This window comes from Homo sapiens, chromosome 18, assembly GCF_000001405.40.
Source record: "Homo sapiens chromosome 18, GRCh38.p14 Primary Assembly".
In the NCBI taxonomy this organism is placed as follows: Eukaryota; Metazoa; Chordata; class Mammalia; order Primates; family Hominidae; genus Homo; species Homo sapiens.
In genome coordinates, this window is record NC_000018.10 from 10171375 (window position 1) to 10193186 (window position 21812).

Here is a 21812-nt window from a genome sequence, read left to right on the forward strand (position 1 = left end):
CAGAGAGACTACTATTATGAACTTAAAATATGTAAGGAGGCAGGATATGTAAGGATAATATCAAGAGTTGGAAGTACGTTTTTTTAAGCCAGGTTCTCCATAAACTATGTCACTAAAATTAAAGAATGAGGCTGGGCGTGGTGGCTCACGCCTGTTATCCCAGCACTTTGGGAGGCTGAGGCCGAGGTGGGTGGATCACTGAAGGTCAGGAGTTCGAGACCAGCCTGGCCAACATGGTAAATCTTTGTTTCTCCTAAAAATGAAAAATAAAAAAAAAATATCTGGGTGTGGTGGCATGTGCCTGTAATCCCACCTACATAGGAGGCTGAGGCAAGAGAGCTGCTTCTTGAACCTGCTAGGTGGAGGTTGCAGTGAGTCGAGATTGTGCCACTGCACTCCAGCCTGGGTGACAGAGTGAGACTCCATCTCAAAAAAAAAAAAAAAAAAAAAAAGAATGAGACAAATGGAGAACCTATTTGTTTTACTTAAGTAGTCTGTTAATCTCTTATAACTGAATTTCTGTAATATCTGATGTATTTTATCTATATGTAACAAGAAATGTCAGCAATTGTACTTATATTATTTTTCTGTTTAGTCAGTAGGTAATTTAAGGTAGTTTTATTATTTAGTGTAACTTTAGCAAGATAATTTAAGAAGTCTATTGTGTAATCTTAGCCTTTGTAGTAAAATCTGCTATAGAGCCCAGTATGAGGGATAAATTTTTAATCATTGTTTTATTTTTTGTAAACCATGGAGGAAGGGATGTAATAATGATGTCTATCTAGAAAGGTGAAGGCTTTCTGGCAATTTTTTTAATAAGAGGAGTGCACTAATGTTTCGTTTTTCACTATGAAGTAACAAAGGTATTATTAAAACCTTTAGTCAATATTGGACCTTTATTTTTTATCTATCAAGGCATAAGTTTGTCTATGAATAAGACTGGCTGTAAAATCTTTTATAAATAAAAGTATATTTCACGGGTGCACATGAGTGTTCTTTAGTTTTGTTATTTATAGAGGCATAAGTAAGAAAAAAAATGAGAGGTTAGAGTCTCGTGATGGCAGAGAAGTCTTGATCTGTCATCTTGGGAAAGCTATGTGTAAGCTGCTGTCCATTGTTGGGGAGAAACTTCTTTGGTTAAGTTTACCTTAAGGGTTCTAACAGGTATACAGTTTTAAGCATCTGGAGGGGCCCTTCTGAGTTGTGAGATCATGAACCCAAGGTCTGAAGTCTCAAAGTTTTGCTGTAATGTGGGTGGTAAGGGCAGTTTTTCTTTGATGTCATTTTTAGAAGACTCTATCTTTGGGTTCTGGATCGTGAAGGGTTTGATTATATTTAGTTGGTGGATTAAGAACAGCTTTCTTTAATCTGAAAATATATTTTGGCATAACATGTTAAAGCCTTGCAGCGTTTAGTCGTATCAGAATTCAGGAGCGAAAGATATATGATGTTCTATTATTAGGGGCATAGGCCTTTTAGTGACTATCTTATAAAGGGCCAATTTATTTGGAAGTGGATTTGATTGTCATCAATCTGTGATATCTTTGACTAAGGCAATTTAGTTGATTTAGCTCCTTTGGTCTACTATTTTTGTAGCTGTAATGTTATCTAACTGTTTTACAATTTGTCTAGTGAAATAAGCCTCTATCGTTGGAGGGTTTTTTTGGAATGTCTCATGAGGGAAACATATTTTCTAATAATCTTATAGATATTGTCATATCATTAGCCTTTTTTTATGGGAAGGCTTCTATATAATTAGAAAACATGTATTGAAAATGGCAATTGAATGAAATCTCTCTAAAAGTGTTTAAATCACCCATTAGGTAGCAGAAATGTATTATATCTGAAGTTTTGATTATCCTTCTGGGATTATGAGTTTCATAAACCAAACATTGGTCATAAACCATTTTAGTAATTTAGAACAGTTGTTTTACTAATATATATATATTTATATATATATATATATATATCATTGGATTTTTTTTCATGATAAGTCACAGAGTGTAGAGCTTTTAATAATGGAAGTTTTAAGGACCAGATGGCCATCTTGACTTTCCATGAATCTATGCTTAATATTGGAATTATATCTTTTAAAATATTAATTTTATTTTTTAAGTTTATGTGTATGGAACTATTCATTAAATGGATTATTACAGGCCATTTGACTTGGTCCATGGAGTTTTTTCTTTAGTTTTTAAATTTTTTGTTATACTTTAAGTTCTAGGGTACATGTGCACAGCATGCAGGTTTGATGCATAGGTATACATGTGTCATGTTGGTTTGCTGCACCCATCAACTCGTCATTTACATTAGGTATTTCTCCTAGTGCTATTCCTGCCCCAGCCCCCAACCCCTGACAGGCCCTGGTGTGTGATGATCCCCACCCTGTTTCCAAGTAATCTCATTGTTGAGTTTCCACCTATGAGTGAGAACATGAGGTGTTTGGTTTTCTGTCCTTGTGATAGTTTGCTCAGAATGATGGTTACCAGCTTCATCTATGTCCCTGCAAAGGACATAAACTGATCCTTTTTTATGGCTGCATAGTATTCCATGGTGTATATGTGCCACGTTTTCTTAATCCAGTCTATCATTGATGGACATTTGGGTTGGTTCCAAGTCTTTGTTATTGTGAATAGTGCTGCAATAAATGTACACGTACATGTACATGTCTTTATAGTAGCATGATTTATAATCCTTTAGGTATATACCCAGTAATGGGATGGCTGGGTCAAATGGTATTTCTAGTTCTAGATCCTTGAGGAATCGCCACACTGTCTTCCACAATGGTTGAACTAGTTTACACTCCCACCAACAGTGTAAAAGCATTCCTATTTCTCCACATCCTCTCCAGCATCTGTCATTTCCTGATTTTTAATGATTGCCATTCTAACTGGCATGAGATGATATCTCATTGTGGTTTTGATTTGCATTTCTCTGATGACCAGTGATGATGAGCATTTTTTCATGTGTCTTTTGGCTGCATAAATGTTTTCTTTTGAGAAGTGTCTGTTCATATCCTTCACCCAGTTTTTGATGGGGTTGTTTGTTTTCTTGTAAATTTGTTTGAGTTCTTTGTAGATTCTGGGTATTAACCCTTTGTCAGATGGGTAGATTGCAAAATTTTTCTCCCATTCTGTAGGTTGTCTGTTCATTCTGATGGTAGTTTCTTTTGCCATGCAGAAGCTCTTTAGTTTACTTAGATCCCATTTGTCTATTTTGGCTTTTGTTGCCATTGCTTTTGGTGTTTTAGTCATAAAGTCCTTGCCCATGCCTATGTCCTGAATGGTATTGCCCAGGTTTTCTTCTAGAGTTTTTATGGTTTTAGGTCTAACATTTAAGTCTTTAATCCATCTTGAATTAATTTTTGTAAAAGGTGTAAGAAAGGGATCCAGTTTCAGCTTTCTACATGTGGCTAGCCAGTTTTAACGGCACCATTTATTAAATAGGGAATCCTTTCCCCATTTCTTGTTTTTGTCAGGTTTGTCAAAGATCAGATGGTTGTAGATGTGTGGTGTTATTTCTAAGCCTTGTATTCTGTTCCATTGGTCTATATCTCTGTTTTGGTACCAGTACCATGCTGTTTTCGTTACTGTAGGCTTGTAGTGTAGTTTGAAGTCAGGTAGTGTGATGCCTCCATCTTTGTTCCTTTTGCTAAGTATTGTCTTGGCAACGTGGGCTATTTTTTGGCTCCATATGAACTTTAAAGTAGTTTTTTCCAATTCTGTGAAGAAAGTCATTGGAGGCTTGATGGGGATGGCAGTGAATCTGTAAATTACCTTGGGCAGTATGGCCATTTTCACGATATTGATTCTTCCTATCCATGCACATGGAATGTTCTTCCATTTGTTTGTGTCCCCTTTTATTTTGATGAGCAGTGGTTTGTAGTTCTCCTTGAAGAGGTCCTTCACATCCCTTGTAAGTTGTATTCCTAGGTATTTTATTCTCTTTGTAGCAATTGTGAATGGGAGTTCACTCATGATTTGGCTCTCTGTTTGTCTGTTATTGGTGTATAGAAATGTTTGTGATTTTTGTACATTGATTTTGTATCCTAAGACTTTGCTGAAGTTGCTTATCAGCTTAAGGAGATTTTGGGCTGAGACGATGGGGTTTTCTAAATATACAGTCATGTCATCTGCAAACAGAAACCATCTGACTTCCTCTTTTCCTAATTGAATACCCTTTATTTCTTTCTCCTGCCTGATTGCCCTGGCCAGAACCCCCAACACTATGTTGAATACAAGTGGTGAGAGAGGGCATCCTTGTCTTGTGCCGGTTTTCAAAGAGAATGCTTCCAGTTTTTGCCTATTCAGTATGATACTAGCTGTGCATTTGTCAGAAATAGCTCTTATTATTTTGAGATACATTCCATCAATACCTAGTTTATTGAGAGTTTTTAGCATGAAGGATTGTTGAATTTTGTTGAAGGCCTTTTCTGCATGTATTGAGATAATCATGTGGTTTTTGTCGTTGGTTCTGTTTATGTGATGGATTACATTTATTGATCTGCTTATGTTGAACCAGCCTTGCATCCCAGAGATAAAGCCGACTTGATCGTGGTGGATAAGCTTTTTGATGTGCTGCTGGATTCGGTTTGCCAGTATTTTATTGAGGATTTTTGCACTGACATTCATCAGAGATACTGGTCTAAAATTTTCTTTTTTTGTTGTGTCTCTACCAGGCTTTGGTATCAGGATGATGCTGGCCTCATAAAATGAGTTAGGGGGGATTCTCGCTTTTTCTATTGATTGGAATAGTTTCAGAAGGAATGGTACCAGCTCCTCTTTGTACCTCTAATAGAATTTGGCTGTGAATCCGTCTGGTCCTGCACTTCTTTTGGTTGGTAGGCTATTAATTATTGCCTCAATTTCAGAGCCTGTAATTGGTCTAGTCAGAGATTCAACTTCTTCCTGGTTTAGTCTTGGGAGGATGTATGTTTCCTGAAATTTATCCATTTCTTCTAGATTTTCTAGTTTATTTGCATAGAGGTGTTTATAATATTCTCTGATGGTAGTTTGTATTTCTGTGAGATTGGTGGTGATATCCCCTTTATCATGTTTTATTGCATCTATTTGATTCTTCTCTCTTTTCTTCTTATTAGTCTTGCTAGCAGTCTTATCAATTTTGTTGATCTTTCAAAAAAAAACATCTCCTGGATTCATTGATTTTTTGAAGGTTTTTTTTTTGGTCTCTATCTCCTTCAGTTCTGCTCTAATCTTAGTTATTTCTTGCCTTCTGCTAGCTTTTGAATGTGTTTGTTCTTGCTTCTCTAGTTCTTTTATTTGTGATGTTAGAGTGTCGGTTTTAGATCTTTCCTGCTTTCTCTTGTAGACATTTAGTGCTATCAATTTCCCTCTGCACATTGCTTTAAATGTGTCCCAGAGATTCTTGTACATTGTGTCTTTTTTCTCATTGGTTTGAAAGAACATCGTTATTTCTGCCTTCATTTAGTTATTTACCCAGTAGTAATTTAGGAGCAGGTTGTTAAGTTTCCATGTAGTTGAGCGGTTTTGAATGAGTTTCTTAATCCTGAGTTCTAATTTGATTGCACTGTGGTCTGAGAGACAGTTTGCTGTGATTTCTGTTCTTTTACATTTGCTGAGGAGTGCTTTCCTTCCAATTATGTGATCAATTTTAGAATAAGTGCAACGTGGTGCTGAGAAGAATGCATATTCTGTTGATTTGTGGTGGAAAGTTCTGTAGACGTTTATTAGGTCTGCTTGGTGCAGAGCTGAGTTCAAGTCCTGGATATCCTTGTCAACCTTATGTCTTGTTAATCTGTCTAATTAACAGTGGGGTATTAAAGTCTCCCATTATTATTGTGAGGGAGTTTTTGTCTCTTTGCAGGTCTCTAAGGACTTGCTTTATGAATCTGGGTGCTCCTGTATTGGGTGTATATATATTTAGGATAGTTAGCTCTTCTTGTTGAATTGATCCCTTTACCATTATGTAATGGCCTTCTTTGTCTCTCTTGATCTTTTTTGGCTTAAAGTCTGTTTTATCAGAGACTAGGATTGCAATCCCTGATTTTTTTTGATTTCCATTTTCTTGGTAGATCTTCCTCCATCCCTTTATTTTGAGCCTATATGTGTCCCTGCACATGAGATGGGTTTCCTGAATACAGCACACTGATGGGTCTTGACTCTTTATCCAATTTGCCAGTCTGTGTCTTTTAATTGGGGCATTTAGCCCATTTACATTTAAGGTTAGTATTGTTATGTGTGAATTTGATCCTGTCATTATGATGTTAGCTGGTTATTTTGCCTGTTAATTGATGCAGTTTCTTCCTAGCCTCAATGGTCTTTACAATTTGGCATGTTTTTGCAGTGGCTGATACTGGTTGTATCTGCCTGTTTAGTGCTTCCTTCAGGAGCTTGTGCAAGGCAAGCCTGGTGGTGACAAAATCTGTCAGCATTTGCTTGTCTGTAAAGGATTTTATTTCTGCTTTACTTATGAAGTTTATTTTGGCTGAATATGAAATTTTGGGTTGAAAATTCTTTTCTTTAAGAATATTGACTATTGGCCCCCACTCTCTTCTGGCTTGTAGGGTTTCTGCAGAGAGATCCACTGTTAGTCTGATGTGCTTCCCTTTGTAGGTATCCTGACCTTTCTCTCTGGCTGTGCTTAACATTTTTTCCTTCATTTCAACCTTGGTGAATCTGACAATTATGTGTCTTGGAGTTCCTCTTTACTGATTTGGATGCCCTTTATTTCTTTCTCTTGTCTGATTGCTCTGGCTAGAACTTCCAGTATTATGTTGAAGAGGAGTGGTGAGGGTGGGCATCCTTGTCTTGTTCTAGTTCTCAAAGGAAATGCTTTCAACTTTTCCCCTTTCAGTGTTACGTTGGCTGTGGGTTTGTCATACGTGGCATTTATTACATTAAGGTATGTCCCTTGTGTGTTAGTTCGTTTTCACACTGCTGATAATAGCATACCCAAGACTGGGAAGAAAAAGAGGTTTAATTGGACTTACAGTTCCACATGGCTGGGGAGGCCTCAGAATCATGGCAGGAGGTGAAAGGCAATTCTTGCATGGCAGCGGCAAGTGAAAAAAGAGGAAGAAGCAAAAGTGGGATCCTCTGATAAACCCACCAGATTTTGTGAGACTTAATCACTATCATGAAATTAGCATGGGAAAGACTGGCCCCCATGATTCAATTTCCTCCCCCTGGGTCCCTCCTATAACACTTGGGAATTCTGGGAGATACAATTCAAGTTGAGATTTGAATGGGGACACAGCCAAACCATATCACCTTGTATGCCAATTTTGCCGAGAGTTTTAATCATAGAGGGATTCTGAGTTGTGTCAAATGCTTTCTCTGCATCTATAGGGATGATCATGTAGTTTTTGCTTTTAATTCTGTTTACATGGAGTATCATATTTATTGACTTGTGTATGTTAAACCATCCCTGTGTCCCTGGTATGAAACCCACTTGATCATGGTGGATTATCTTTTTGATATGTTGTTGGATTCAGTTAGCTAGTATTTTCTTAAGGATATTACTGTCTATGTTCATCAAGGATATTGATCTGTAGTTTTCTTTTTTGGTTATATCCTTTCCTGGTTTTGGTACTAGAGTGATGCTGGCTTCATAGAATGAATTAGGGAGGGTTTGTTCTTTCTCTATTTTGTGGAATAGTGTCAAAAGGATTGGTACCAATTTTTCTTTGAATGTCTAGTAGAATTCTGCTGTGAATCCATCTGGTCCTGGGCTTTTTTTGTTGGTAATTTTTAAATTACCATTTCAATTGGTCTTTTTGGACATCTAATTATTCCTGTTTTAACCTAGGATGGTTGAATTTTTCCAGAAATTTTTCCCTCTCTTCTAGGTTTTTGAGTTTATGTGCATAAAGGTGTTCATAGTAGCCTTGAATGACCTTTTGTATTTCAGTTGTGTCAGTTGTAATATCTCCTGTTTCTTTTCTTAGTGAGGACATTTGGATTTTCTCTCTTCTTTTCTTGGTTACTCTTGCTAATGGTCTATCAATTTTATTTATCTTTTCAAAGAACCAGCTTTTCATTTCATTTCTCTTTTGTATTTTTTTTGTTTCAATTTCATTTAGCTCTGCTTTGATCTCGGTTATTTCCTTTCTTCTGCTGGGTTTGGGCTTGGTTTGCTCTTGTTTCTCTAGTTCTTTGAGGTGTGACCTTAGAGTGTCAGTTTGTGCTCTTTCAGTCTTTTTGATGTAGGCGTTTAGGGCCATGAACTTCCCTCTTAGCACCGCCTTGGCTGTATCCCCGAGTTTTGATAAGTTGTGTTATTATCGTCATTCGGTTTGAAGATTTTTTTATTTCCATCTTGATTTCCTTTTTGACCCATCACTCATTCAGAAGCAAGTTATTTAATTTCCATGTATTTGCATGGCTTTGAAAGTTCCTTTTGGAGTTGATTTCCAGTTTTATTCCACTGTGGTCTGACAGAGTGCTTGATATAATTTCAATTTTCTTAAATTTATTGAGGCTTGTTTTATGGCTTATCATATGGTCTATCTCAGAGAAATTTCCATGAGCCGTTGAATAGAATGTGTATTCTGCGGCTGTTGGATGAAATGTTCTGTATATATCTGTTAAGTCCATTTGTTCCAAGGCATAGTTTAAATGCATTGTTTCTTTGTTGACTTTCTGTCTTGATGACCTGCCTAGTGGTGTCAGTGAAGTACTGAAGTCCCGCACTATTACTGTGTTGCTGTCATCTCATTTATTAGGTCTATAGTAATTGTTGTATAAATTTGGAAGCGCCAGTGTTAGGGGCATATATGTTTAGGATTGTGATGTTTTCCTGTTGGACAAGGCCTTTTACCATTATATAATGTCCTTCTTTGTCTCTTTTAACTGCTGTTGCTTTAAAGTTTGTTTTGTCTGATATAAGAATAGCTACCCCTGCTCACTTTTGGTGAGCATGAAATGCCCTTTTCCACCCATTTACTTAAAGTTTATGTGAGTCCTTATGTGTTAGGTGAGTCTTCTGAAGGTAGCAGATAGTTGGTTGGTGAGTTCTTATCCATTCTGTGGTTCTGTGTCTTTTAAGTGAGCATTTAGGCCATTTCCATTCAATATTAGTATTGAAATGTGAGGGATTGTTGCATTCACCTTCCTCTTTGTTGTCTGTATACTTAGGTTTTTTGTGTTTACTTTTTAATTTCTATTTTTGTTTTACAGGTCCTGTGTTATTTATGCTTTAAAGAGATTCTGTTTTGATGTGTTTCCAGGATTTGTTTCAAGATTTAATGTTCCTTTTAGCAGTTCTTGTGGTGGTGGCTTGGTAATGGCAAATTCTCTCAGCATTTGCTTGTCTGCAAATGACTGTATCTTTCCTTCATATATGATGCTTGGTTTCACTGGATACAAAATTCTTGGCTGATAATTGTTTTGTTTGAGGAGGCTGAAGATAGGGCCCCAAAGCCTTCTAGCTTTTAGGGTTTCTGCTGATAAATCTGCTGTTAATCTGACAGGTTTTCCTTTATAGGTTACCTGGTGCTTCTGTCTCACAGCTCTTAAGATTCTTTCCTTCGTCTTAACTTTGGATAACCTGATGACAATGTGCCTAGGCAAAGATCTTTTTGCGATGAATTTCCCAGGTGTTCTTTGTACTTCTCATATTTGCATGTCTAGGTTTCTAGCAAGGCTGGGGAAATTTTCTTCGATTATTCCTCCAAATATGTTTTACAAGCTTCTAGAATTCTCTTCTTCCTCGGAAACACCAATTATTCTTAGGTTTGGTCGTTTAACATAATCCCAGACTTCTTGGAGACATTTTTCATATTTTCTTATTATTTTTTCCTTGTCTTTGTTGGATTGGATTAACTTGAAGACCTTGTCTTCGAGCTCTGAATTTCTTTCTTCTACTTGTTTAATTCTATTGCTGAGACTTTCCAGAGCATTTTGTATTTCTAAAAGTGTGTCCAAAGTTTCCTGAACTTTTTATTGTTTTTTCTTCAAACTATCCATTTCCACGAATATTTCTCCCTTCACTTCTTGTATCATTTTTTGGATTTCCTTGCATTGGGCTTTGCCTTTCTCTGGTCCCTCCCTGATTAGCTTAATAACTAACCTCCTGAATTCTTTTTCAGGTGAATCAGGGATTTGTTCTTGGTTTGAATCCATTGCTGTCCAACTACTGTGATTTTTGTGGGGTGTTGAAGAGTCTTGTTTCGTCATATTACCAGGGTTGGTTTTCTGGTTCCTTCTCATTTGGGTAGGCTCTGTCAGAGGGAAGGTCTAGGGCTGAAGGCTGTTTTTCAGATCCTTTTGTCCCATGGGATGTTCCCTTGATGTAGTACTCTCCCCCTTTTCCTATAGATGTGGCTTCTTGTGAGCTGAATTGTAGTGATTATTGTCTCTCTTCTGGGTCTAGCCACTCAGTGAGTCTACCCAACTCCAGGCTGGTACTGGGGGTTTTCTACAGAGTCCTCTGATGTGAGCTGTTTATGGGTCTTTGAGCCATGGATACCTGCGCCTGTTCCGGTGGAGGTGGCAGAGGGCGCAATGGACTCCGTGAAGGTCCTCAGCTTTGGTGGTTTAATGCTCTATTTTTGTGCCGGTTGGCCACCTGCCAGGAGGTTCCAATTTCCAGAAAGCATCAGCCATAGTAGTGTGGAGAGGGACCGGTGGTGGGCAGGGAAATAGAACTCTCAAGATTATATACCCTTTGTCTTCCGCTACCAGGGTAGATAGGGAAGGACCAGCAGGTGGGGTGGAGCTAGGCGTGCCTGAGCTCAGACTCTCCTTGAGTGGGTCTTGCTGTGGCTGCTGTGAGGGATGGGAGTGAGATTTCCAGGTCACTGGATTTGTGTACCTGGGAGGATTACGGCTACCTCCGCTGAGTCATGCAGGTTGTCAGGATAGTGGGGGAAAGCCGGCAGTCACAGGCCTCACCCAGCTCCCATGCAAACTGAAGGGCTGGTCTCACTCCCACCGTGTCCCCCCACCAACAGCCCTGAGTCTGTTTCCAGGTGGAGGGCAGGACAGGCTTGAAAAGTTGCCTCAGGCTACCTGCTTCCCAGTTGCGGGGGAAAAAAAAGGACTTGGTTCTTCCTCTGCCTGTGGAGTCTGCACCCTGGACTTGCACCCTCCCCCGAGTTCTGGCCAGGAGGCTACTCGCCTTGTTCAAATTGTTACAAAGTTCAGCTAGAGATTTCCTTCTTCCTGTGGTGTTTTGCCCTGCTCCTCTGCCCACCCTCCGGATGGATCCCTGTGGTGCCAGGCAGGAATGGGCTGTTGGGGACCCAGCGAACTCTCAGGGCCTTTCTGCTGCTTCTTCCTACCCCTGTATTTTGCTTGGCTCTCTAAATTGACTCAGCTCCAGGTGAAGTCGGAAACTTCTCCCACAAACAGACCTTCAGCTTCTCTAGTGGGGGGCGTGTGTTCAGGAGAGGAGGGTCTCCCTTTCCCACTTGTGCAGTTCAGGCACTCACAGTATTTGGGGTGTCTCCTGGGTCCTGCAGGAGCAGTTTGCTTCCTTCAGAGGTCCTGTGGGTCCTCTCGGGATTGCTGATTTGTTCTTGCAGTCGATCTGGAGTAAAAATTCACAATGTGAGTCTCTGCACGCTCCTCTGTCCGGAGCTGCAATCTAGTCCTGCCTCCAGTCAGCCATGATCTTTTTTAAATTTTCCTACTTGAAAGAACTATTAAATAACTTCTAAATTAGACAAAATTACATTTTCAACACTCATTTTTATGCCTTTATAATTTTTTTGCCAATAACACATAGTGCCTTTTAAATACACTCTGTATACAGTTTTTTATATCTAGTAGTTTTAATTATTCATATCAACTATAATTTTAACTCTTAGTAACTCTAATTTCTACACTTGATGTTAGCCAAAAGGCCAAGAAGTGATAGTAACTCTCTAATTTCTAATGAAAACCTAGGAAGTAAGTAATTTTGAACTGTTTTATGTTAGTATTTATATATTAAAAACCATTTCCTAATTTTTTAGAAGGATGTGTTTTCTTAATTTTTTTGTTTATTAATAGATCTATATGTATTTGGCTTTTCTATACTATGTAAAAATAAGATGCTAAAGTATATAAACTTAAACTTATGTTAATAATTAATGTTTCAGTATTTTAACTTAGAAATGACTCAGATATTTTATGATTATTTATTACTTAATTTAACATAATATGACTTAAATATTTTAAATTACCAGACAGAATTTTGAAACTGTGACACAGGTACCCTCCCTAATGTCTTCCCCAGTTATCCCAGGTCCTGAGTACCCATGTGGCACCCAGGATGGCTATGAATGACAGAGCCCTTCTGGGTCCTGAATTTATATATCAGGTATAGAACTTGAGAGAGGACAAACCTGTGAAGAGGATGTCTAGAAGGTTTGACTCTCTCAGTATGGCCAGGAGGCAAAGTTGGGCCAGGGAGAAAGGGGCCATATTGGGTTTGACTTTGTTTTGCAGCTGGTGGTCAAGGTGCCAAGGACATGTCTCCAGGCCTCATTATGGCCACCTGTCTAGAGCCTAGAATTTATAACCTCAAACTAAAGACAAGCTCACAGTAAGATGTGTGTAAGGCTTTGGGGAGTCTAGCAGCCAGTCTTTTTCTTTAGTGAACAAATTAAGCATTAACAATATTATAGAAGCAGCAATTTTATTGCCTTAAAATATGTAGAGGGGACAGTATAAATCTGTTTAACCCATAGAACCAGGCAAAAATATTTTTATTATATTTAACTGACAAATTTGAAGCCGTTTTTATTTTATTAGAATTTTAAACTTACTTAAAATTTTAAATTAGCTTTATTTACCAAGTATATATAAATGTGATATAACTGTCATACACACACACACACACACACACACACCCATAAGATAAATACTTAGGCAGAATCAGATCTTATAGCTTTTATAGAGAATTTTTATTTGTTGTCTTTTAAATAGTTTTTTTTCCTTTTTTTCTTTTTCTTTTCTTCTTTTTTTTTTTTTTTTTTGAGACAGAGTCTTGCTCCGTCACCCAGGCTGGAGTGCAGTGATGTGATTTTGGCTCACTGTAACCTCTGTCTCCTGGGTTCAAGTGATTCTCCTGCCTCAGCCTCCTAAGTAGCTGTGATTACAGGCGCCCACCACCACACCTGGCTAATTTTTGTATTTTTAGTAGAGGTGGGGTTTCACCATGTTGTCCAGGCTGGTCTTGAACGCCTGACTTCATGATCCGCCCTTCTTGGCCTCCCAAAGTGCTGGGATTACAGCCATGAGCCACCACACTGGCCAATAGTTTTTTTTTCTGTTTAGACTATACATCCTTATACATTTTATCATCTTGAGTATTTGTTAGCAAGCAACCCTAAATTTGTATTTTTAAAGGAATGACTCTTAAGTGAAACAAAGTTGATGTGGTTTAGATGTTTGTTCCCTCTAAATCTCATGTTGAAGTGTGGTGATTTTTAATGTCGGAGGTGGGGCTTGGTGGGAGGTGATTGGATCCTGGGGGTCGAACCCTTATGAATGGTTTGGCACCATCCCGTTGGTGATAAGTGAGTTCTTGCTTAGTTAGTTCACATGAGATTTGGTTGTTCAAAAAAAAAAAATCTGGGACTTCCCCTTCTCTCTTGCTCTCTCTCTCTCTCTCACTATGTGATATGCTGGCATCCCCCTTCACCTTCCTCCATGACTGTCAGCTTCCTGAAGCCCTCACCAGAAGCTGAGCAGATAGTGGTGCCATGCTTGTACATTCTGCAGAAGTGTGAACCAATTCAACTTTCTTTCTTTATAAATTATGCCTTTATAGGAATGAAAGCCTCAGATATTCCTTTATAAGAATGTAAGAACAGCCAAATACAAAGACAGAAAATGTTTATCTCAAAAGTACAGAGCTGAGATGTTAGGCTCAAATATTGTATTATAATTTGTTCAAATTAAGGAATGAGAGTATAGGTAAAGGCCCAGGTAAGACAATATGTCAAGGAAAAATACCTCAAGTAAAAGTAAGACTAGTTATGTAAACTTAAACTAACAGTAAGAGGTTTTAGTTACTCATTTCTTCCTCTCTTTTTGATGCAGAGAGGCAGATATCTTTATAACTGAATTTTTTTATAGATGTGAATTTTTTTAAAAAAGGGTTTGAAAATGGCCACCTTAATGTTGTAAGCTGTATTTTGGAGGCAGATTTAGTTTAATAGGTGGTCTTTTTAACTTAGTTATTATTTTTTAGCTAAAATTATTGAGCTTAAGGTGGAGCTCATTAAAGAATAGGGCAAAGAAAATATTTTCTACGTCTGGACTCAGTATGGACAGCTCCGAAAAATAAGTATGCCTGTTCTACCTGAGGGTCTATCTTTTATAAATATTTTATCTAGAATAGCCTTTTAAAAAGCCTTTATAGAAGGATAGTAATTAAGCCAAAAGGCTAGCAGATTTAAGTTTCTAAATTAATTAGTCAATTAAGATTTTAATTTGTTTTTTATAGTCTTTTGAAAGAGGCAATAAAAATATTGAAAAAATTTTAGAAGCTTCTACACATTAGTAAACATTTTTGGATCAGTCTAATTTAAGAACCCTTATTTTTAAATGTATTTTTTAATGTGTAGTATTGTTTATTTGGAATATTGCATTCTAATTTTACATTATTTTTAGTAAGATTTTGTCTTTTTTGTAAGTGTTTCTGGTTTTGGGGGGTCTAATGCTTATATATGTGTGGGTAGTTGTAGATGGAAGGGGGGTGTTTTGTTTTTTAGAATTTAAAGATCTCATTTTACATTGAATTTTGGCTTTGGCTCTCAGATCACCTTTATTAACTTAGCCAGTGATTTTTCTCTACCTCACCATGCAAGAAAAAAATAGGGGTGGGAAATAGAACACAAACACCCCCGTGAAAGCCCCCCCACCCCAATTTTATTATTCACTGCCAGTTTCTGTCTGGCCCAGTTGGACATCTGAGGCTTCTACATGGATCTAAGCCAGTTAATTATCAGATCTATCCCATCCTGGACTCAGTCCAGTTTTTATTGGGACTTTTCAGCCCAGTTTGAATAAAAAATTTGTTCAAACTCAAAGAGCTGAAAACACAAATCCATGGAACCTCAGAACCTGAGAGAGAACTTACCCATGATTCCTAGCTTCTGTGAGAAGGCAGTGAGCACAGTGGGTCTGCTGAGTACCTCACTTGGTCGCTCAATGCTCCTGGGGGTCACTGGAAGTTAACTTTCAAGTCTCACTTCTGACACCATTTGTTAGACAAATTAAATTTAACAGAGTTTAATTGAATAATGAATGATTCACAAGTCAGGCAGCACACCCCTTGTTACCCCCTCTTCCAGCCCCACCCAACTAATTAGAATAGGTTTGGGAGACTCTGGCAGTGCTGTGTGGTTGGAAAGGATTTATGGACCGAAAGAGGAAAGTAATGTGCAGAAAATGGAAGTAGGGTATGGAAACAGCTAGATTGGTTACAGCTTGGTGTTTGCCTTATTTGAATGTGGTTTAAATAGTTGGCGACCTGTGAATGATTGAAGTCTGGCTTCTATCATTGGCTGAGACTTGGCTCCTTGTTACAAGAGCACGTTACACCTGTTTACACATGCAGTTAGGTTACAGTTCACTATATATGGAGAAATGTTAGGCTGAATTTAAAATATATAAGGAGGCAGCTTTAGGCTAACCAAATTTAACAGTAGACAGCAAACACTGAAGGCCAAGTCTCTTGACTTACATTCCAATTTCTTTCTACTACAACCCAACAGTCTCTGAGACTCTACATTAATAGCAGTCTGGCCTTCAAGTTATTAGAGCATTAAATGTCAGAAGCATGCTGTCCTAAACATGGAAAATCTATGAGCTTCCCTTTTACCTGTAACTATAATCCCATTGCACACAAAAGCTGCTGCATTTGATAGGTGAGAAAAGGTGTAGAAACTGTGGATGTACCTGTAGGACTCAGCTCCTGTAGGGAAGCTGTCTCTGGCCCTCTAAGGCTGAATTAGGGACATTGCCTATGTGGAATGAAGTGCCCCAAGCTCGCCCTTGTTGCAGAATTTACGTCACTGCTTACTTATTCTCCCCCCTTCTAGAATGTGAGTTTCTGAGGACACAGTCTGGCTTGTTTATGATTTATTCTTAGAGCACTTAGTGTTCAATAAAGAGGCATCAAAAAGATTCAAAAATAGGACATCAAGAAACCTGTGATATAATACTGTATAAGATTTTTCTCATACATGCTGGCCTTTTAAGAATAATGTCTGGCTCTTAGACAGTGTTTACTGTGGCCTGGGCATTGTTCTAAACTCTTTCCTGATGGAAGCCTGTGGCTAGTGTGCATTAACTATCAGGTGGGCACGATCACCACCCCTGTGGCCTAGAGAGCTCAGCAGTTGACCCAGTGTGGCCGAGCTGGCTGGTGACGAAGTCAGGGTGTGAACAGGCTGGCTCTCGCATCAAAGCTCTTGGACTCCTACCAGAAGGCAATACCTGATCAAGTGAATCCACACAGTAGCTGCTTGTGTTTTCACACCTGAGAAAAAGCATTTCCACTATGTTAGCACCAGTACTTTGTCCAAGTGAGGACAGAGTGGGGCTAAGATTACGCTTGGGGACTCTTAGCTGTCATCAGTGGATTGTGTGTGGGGTGTGTGTGTGTGTGTGCGAGGGGTGACGCCAAGTTTTGGTGACCAGTATCTCCCAATAACCCTCTCTCATGACCATGTTTGGTGGATCTCCAGAGCCCTCAACTGATAGTTAAAGATATTAGAAATAACTTCTTCTCAGATTCAAATAAATAAAATCAGAAATGAAAAAGGAGATGTCATGACTGATACCATGGGAATACAAAGGATCATTAGACACTATTATAAACAACTATACTCCAGTAAATTTGAAAACCTATTAGAAATGGATAAATTCAGCCAGGCACAGTGGCTCATGCCTGTAATCCCAGCACTTTGGGAGGCCGAGGCAGGCAGATCACGAGGTCAGGAGATCAAGACCGTCCTGGCTAACACGGTGAAACCCCATCTCTACTAAAAACATACAAAAAAATTAGCCGGGCGTGGTGGCAGGTGCCTGTAGTCCCAGCTACTCAGGAGGCTGAGGCAGAAGAATGGCGTGAACCCGGGAGGTGGAGCTTGCAGTGAGCTGAGATCACGCCACTGCACCCCAGCCTAGCCTCGGCGACAGAGTGAGACTCTGTCTCATAAAAAAAAAAAAAAATGGATAAATCCTTGGATACATACAACCTACCAAGACTGAACTAAGAATAAATAGAAAACCTCAGCAGACCAATAACCAGTAACAAAGTTGAATCAATAACAAAAAGTCTCTCAACAAAGAAAATCCCAGGACCAAACAGCTTCACTGCTGAATTCCACCAAATGTTTAAAGAACTAATACCAATTCTTCTCAAACTCTTCCAAAAAATTGAAAGAGTTAGAATTCTTCCAGACTCATTCTACAAAGCCGGTATAACCCTGATCCCCAAACCAAATAAGACCACAGCAAAAAATGAAAACTTAAGGTAGGGGGCAATAAAGCCTTGGACTCTGATGTTCTCTCTGAACCCCAGCTACAAGGAAATGCACTTTAAACATTTAAATCCACCAAGGTAAAGAGCTTGGCTTTGATACTGGGCAAAGTTCCTAGGGCAATGATTAAGTATGGACTCCACAATCATTGGGAGAAAATGGGAATTTTGCCCCAATAAGTCATCACCCAGATGCCCACCCTCCCTTCTTTCCCCTCTCCCCATCCTCTGTCCCTCTATCTTCCTCTAGGAGAGGGGTAGGTTGCCACGACAACACCAGAGTTAATGGCCCCATTTGGCCAGCCTTAAAGCCCAGCTCATTCTGGCCCAGGGACATCTCATTGGGAAAGAGATTCTGGATGTTTGACAAATGCTCAATTTGGCTAATAGAACCTGTGTATTTACTTGGTGCAAATTAAACAAGTCTGGATGTACAAGTTTCATTGTCCAAAGGGAGAAGGAGAGATGATTAGAGGAAGGTAGGAGGAGGGGAAGAAAGAAGGGGAATTCCAGTGGCCAGAAAAGTTTCCGATGCCTGATTTGTCCTGTGTCAGGGTCTGCCTTCATCACGTTACCAGGAGCTGGCTGTAGGAAAGAAAAAACAATCCCGAGACGACGAGACTCAAATCAAATAGGCCTGATGACAAGAGTCTCAATGGCACAGAGGTCCATTTCTATCCATCCTTATTGGAATCATACTAAGTGAGTCTCACAAGCAGGCTCCCAACAGGCTGACTGTGAGTTTCTCTACCAAATGAGACTGTGACCGGGGCCCAGGCTGTGCCAGCGTCCAGAGGGCTAGTGCTGTGGACTTATTCACACGTGCACTTCTTGACACTGATGTGTAAGCCAGGCCTGCTGTCACACTGGAGTTCCAGATGCTAGCAAACCAAGAGAAAACCTAAATCAAATAATTCCATGCAGTGATTAGTGCCGTAAGAAGGTCCTATAATTAGAGTGGCTTTGTGGCTGAGCAGAGGGGCCGGAGAGGAAGTTGGGGAGGAATGCTAGCTGGGCTGCTCCGGGGTCCTCTCTGAAGAGGGGACACTGGAGCAGAGCTCTGAATGGGGGGCTGTCTGTGCAGCCTCCAGTGGGCTTGGAGGCCTGATGGGCTTCAGCAGTGAGGGGCTGATGGGGAGCAGGAAGAGACTGGCAAGAGGCTTTTCCTTAGGTGCCGAGACTGACAATGAAGCAAGGCCTCTGGGGCCTGGACAGAGAACACAGCCTCAGATGGGCTCAGGGCTGGTAGAAGTACAAGAGAGGGAACATGGGCAGAGTTGTGTCCTGTGGATGACATCACTACAGGCCAGGTGGACACTGGGGACGGGGGCAGCTGAGAATGGGTGTTCTCAGGGACACAGGCACTGATGACTCACCCTTGCCCCTTTAACCCAAGGTTGCCAACCCTGTCTCCATCCACACCCATCAAGACTGTGGGACCAGGGCTATGGATGTCCGCTTGTGGGCTCAGGCTGCCTCCTGGAACCAGATATAGAATGGCCTCCGAGTGGGACCGCCCATGGAGAACAAGGGGAAGCGAGGTCGGGCACACACGTTTCAGAGGTTTCTAGCTTTCAGCCTACATGCCTTGTGCAAGTCTGTGTCATGTGACAGAAAGAGTTAGAAGCCCTGGGTTCAAATCTCACCTGTGCCACTTACTAAGTGAACAACTGAATGAGTAGTTTCTCCTAACTGATCCATTTGTAAAATCTGGATAAGAGAAGTAACACCAGGATCGCAGTGTGGTTCTGAATATCAACAAAGGGAGGCAATGCAAACGACAATGAGTGGTCAGGAGCAAAGAACTATGCAATGTGAAGCATTAATTACACTCAGGTTCACAGAAGACAGGAACCCCCGAAAGAAATGCATCTAAATTAATTTAGTTTCTGTAGGTGTGGACAAGGCAAGGGAAATAACTGACTTCTGATTCATCTTACCACAGAAGAGCTGGAATAGCTCCTCTTGATTCCGCAAATGACCCTTTCCCAGGGGAGCTGCACTCCCTGAGAGTCTGCATGGGCCTCTGTCACATTATATAGGGATTTGCAATGGCAGGAGAGTGGCCCTGTGGTTTTCCCTCAAAAGGAGTTGTATGGAACACACTCAGTGTCTGCCATGCTTTCTATGGGAGAAAGTGGTTCTTCCTTGTGATAACTCCGCTCCACAAGTCTACCCACCACTCCCTCTGAGGGATGCTGCCTGGATTCCCTTTCCCAGTGCTTGCTCGCTCCTGGTTCCAAGTCTTCCACTGCTTGTTTGGAGCTGAATGGTGCCTCTGACCCCCCATTCATGTGATAAAGTTCTAACCCCTCATACCTCAGGATGTGGCTGTTTTGGAGCTAGGGCCTTTGAAGAGCTAATTAAGTTAAAATGAGGTCCATGGGTGAGCCCTAATCAGATAGGACTGGCGACCTTACTAGACAGAGACACACACAGAGGAAAGACCATGGGAGGACACAGGGAGGAGACGGCCATCTGCAAGCCAAGGAGCCCTCAGGAGAAACCAGCTCTGCCAACGCCTTGATCTCCAACCTCAGCCTCCAGAATTGAGAAGTACTTTTCTGTTGCTTAAGCTGCGCGGGATGTGGCGCCGTTACATCAGCCTCAGCAGGCTAGCCCACCATGCTGTTTCTCGCCTGGCCTGCATTGTGGTACTGCGTCCAGAGTTGGTTCCTGACGGTGGGTTCCTGGTCTCGCTGACTTCAAGACTGAAGCTGCTTCTCGGTGAGTGTTACAGCTCTTAAAGATGGCACGGACCCATAGTAGTAGTAAATTTTATTGTGAAGACCAAAAGAACAAAGCTTCTACAGCCTGGAAGGGTACCCCACTGGGTTGCTGCTGCTGGCTGGTGGGTGGCCAGCTTTTATTCCTTTATTTGTCCCTGCCCATGTTCCATTTCTGCCCTGTCAGAGTGCCCGTTTTTCAATCCTTCCTGCGATTGGTTACTTTTAGGATCCTGCTGATTGGTGCGTTTTACAGAGCACTGATTGTTGCATTTTACAGAGCACTGATTGGTGCATTTTACAGAGTGTTGATTGGTGCATTTTACAACCCCCTTGCTAGCTACAGAGTGCTGATTGGTGCATTTTACAATCCTCTTGTAAGACAGAAAAGTTTTCCAAGCCCCACTCGACCCAGGAAGTCCAGCTGGCTTCACACCTCTCAGTACCACTGAGGCTGTAGTCTCAGAGAGAGGAGACAAGGGGGAACGCACTTGTTGGTAAAAGCCACAGTGTGAATCCTGCTGAAATCCTACCTGGAAGCCCAGTGTGGCTCAGGATAAGTTACTGAACTTCTCAGTAGAGAGGGAGCCTGTCATGGCTCAATAGTGCCCCACAAAGAAATATGTCTGTCTCCTAACCCCTGGGACCCGTGACCTTATCTGGAAGTAGGGTCTTTGCAGGTGTAATTAAGTTCAGGATCTTGGAATGAGATGATTGTAGATTTAGGGTGTCCTTCTGAGAGAAAAGGGAGGGGATAAGACATCAACGCAGAGAGAGAAGGCCACGTGGAGACAGAAGCAGAGATTAGAGTGAGGCGACAACAAGCCAGGCTTGCTCAAGGACTGCCAAGGATGCCAGAAGCCACCAGAAGCAGGAGCAGACTCCCTCGGAGCCACCAGAACGAAGCAGCCTGCCACACCTTGGCTCTGGACTTCTGTCCTGCAGAACTAGCAGAGAATACATTGGGGTTGTTTTAAGCCATCTAGTTTGTGGTAACTTCTTACGGCAGCCCCAGGAAACATGCAGACTTCACTCTTTGTGTGGCTGTCCCAGAGCCTGCTGCCCTGGATGGGAGGCTGTGATGTGAAGCTCAAGCTCTTGGCTCCAGAGCCAGACCCAGGCCCTGATCCTGCCCCCTGGCCCAGCCCTGAGACCTCTGAACCGTGTCCTGTCTGTTTCCAGTTTAGTAACACCTGCCTCACAGGTTGCTGTGAGGCCTGGATGGCATGTGGTAGGTACTAAATAGACAGCAGTTAGTATTATTGGCTTATTACCATGAGACTGCCAGCTCCAAGCTATTTCTACACTATCTGTGGCAACAGGAAGAGGAAACTCTGTTTCATTTTGTTGCCCTGGATCTTTATAAATGACAGGTAGGCATCTTAGTGGACGATTGTTCTCCATAAGGCATTTTATTTTTCACTTTGCTACACCATTAAGAATATGTCCTTAAAATTGTTTTTACATGCATTTGAATTTTAAAAATTGCTTCTTGGCTGGGCACAGTGGCTCATGCCTGTAATCCCAGCACTTTGGGAGGCCAAGGCGGGCGGATCACCTGAGGTCAGGAGTTCACGACTGGCCTGGTCAACATGGTGAAACCCCATCTCTACAAAAATACAA

General features: G+C 40.8%; 1 annotated feature.

Moving 5' to 3' along the window:
• Window positions 10493-10993: an enhancer, noted in NCBI's record as "H3K4me1 hESC enhancer chr18:10181864-10182364 (GRCh37/hg19 assembly coordinates)". NCBI's record gives its function as "activates a minimal SCP1, AML or CMV promoter by ChIP-STARR-seq in primed H9 embryonic stem cells {active_cell/tissue: H9 hESC(primed)}" and the evidence as "EXISTENCE:reporter gene assay evidence [ECO:0000049][PMID:30033119]".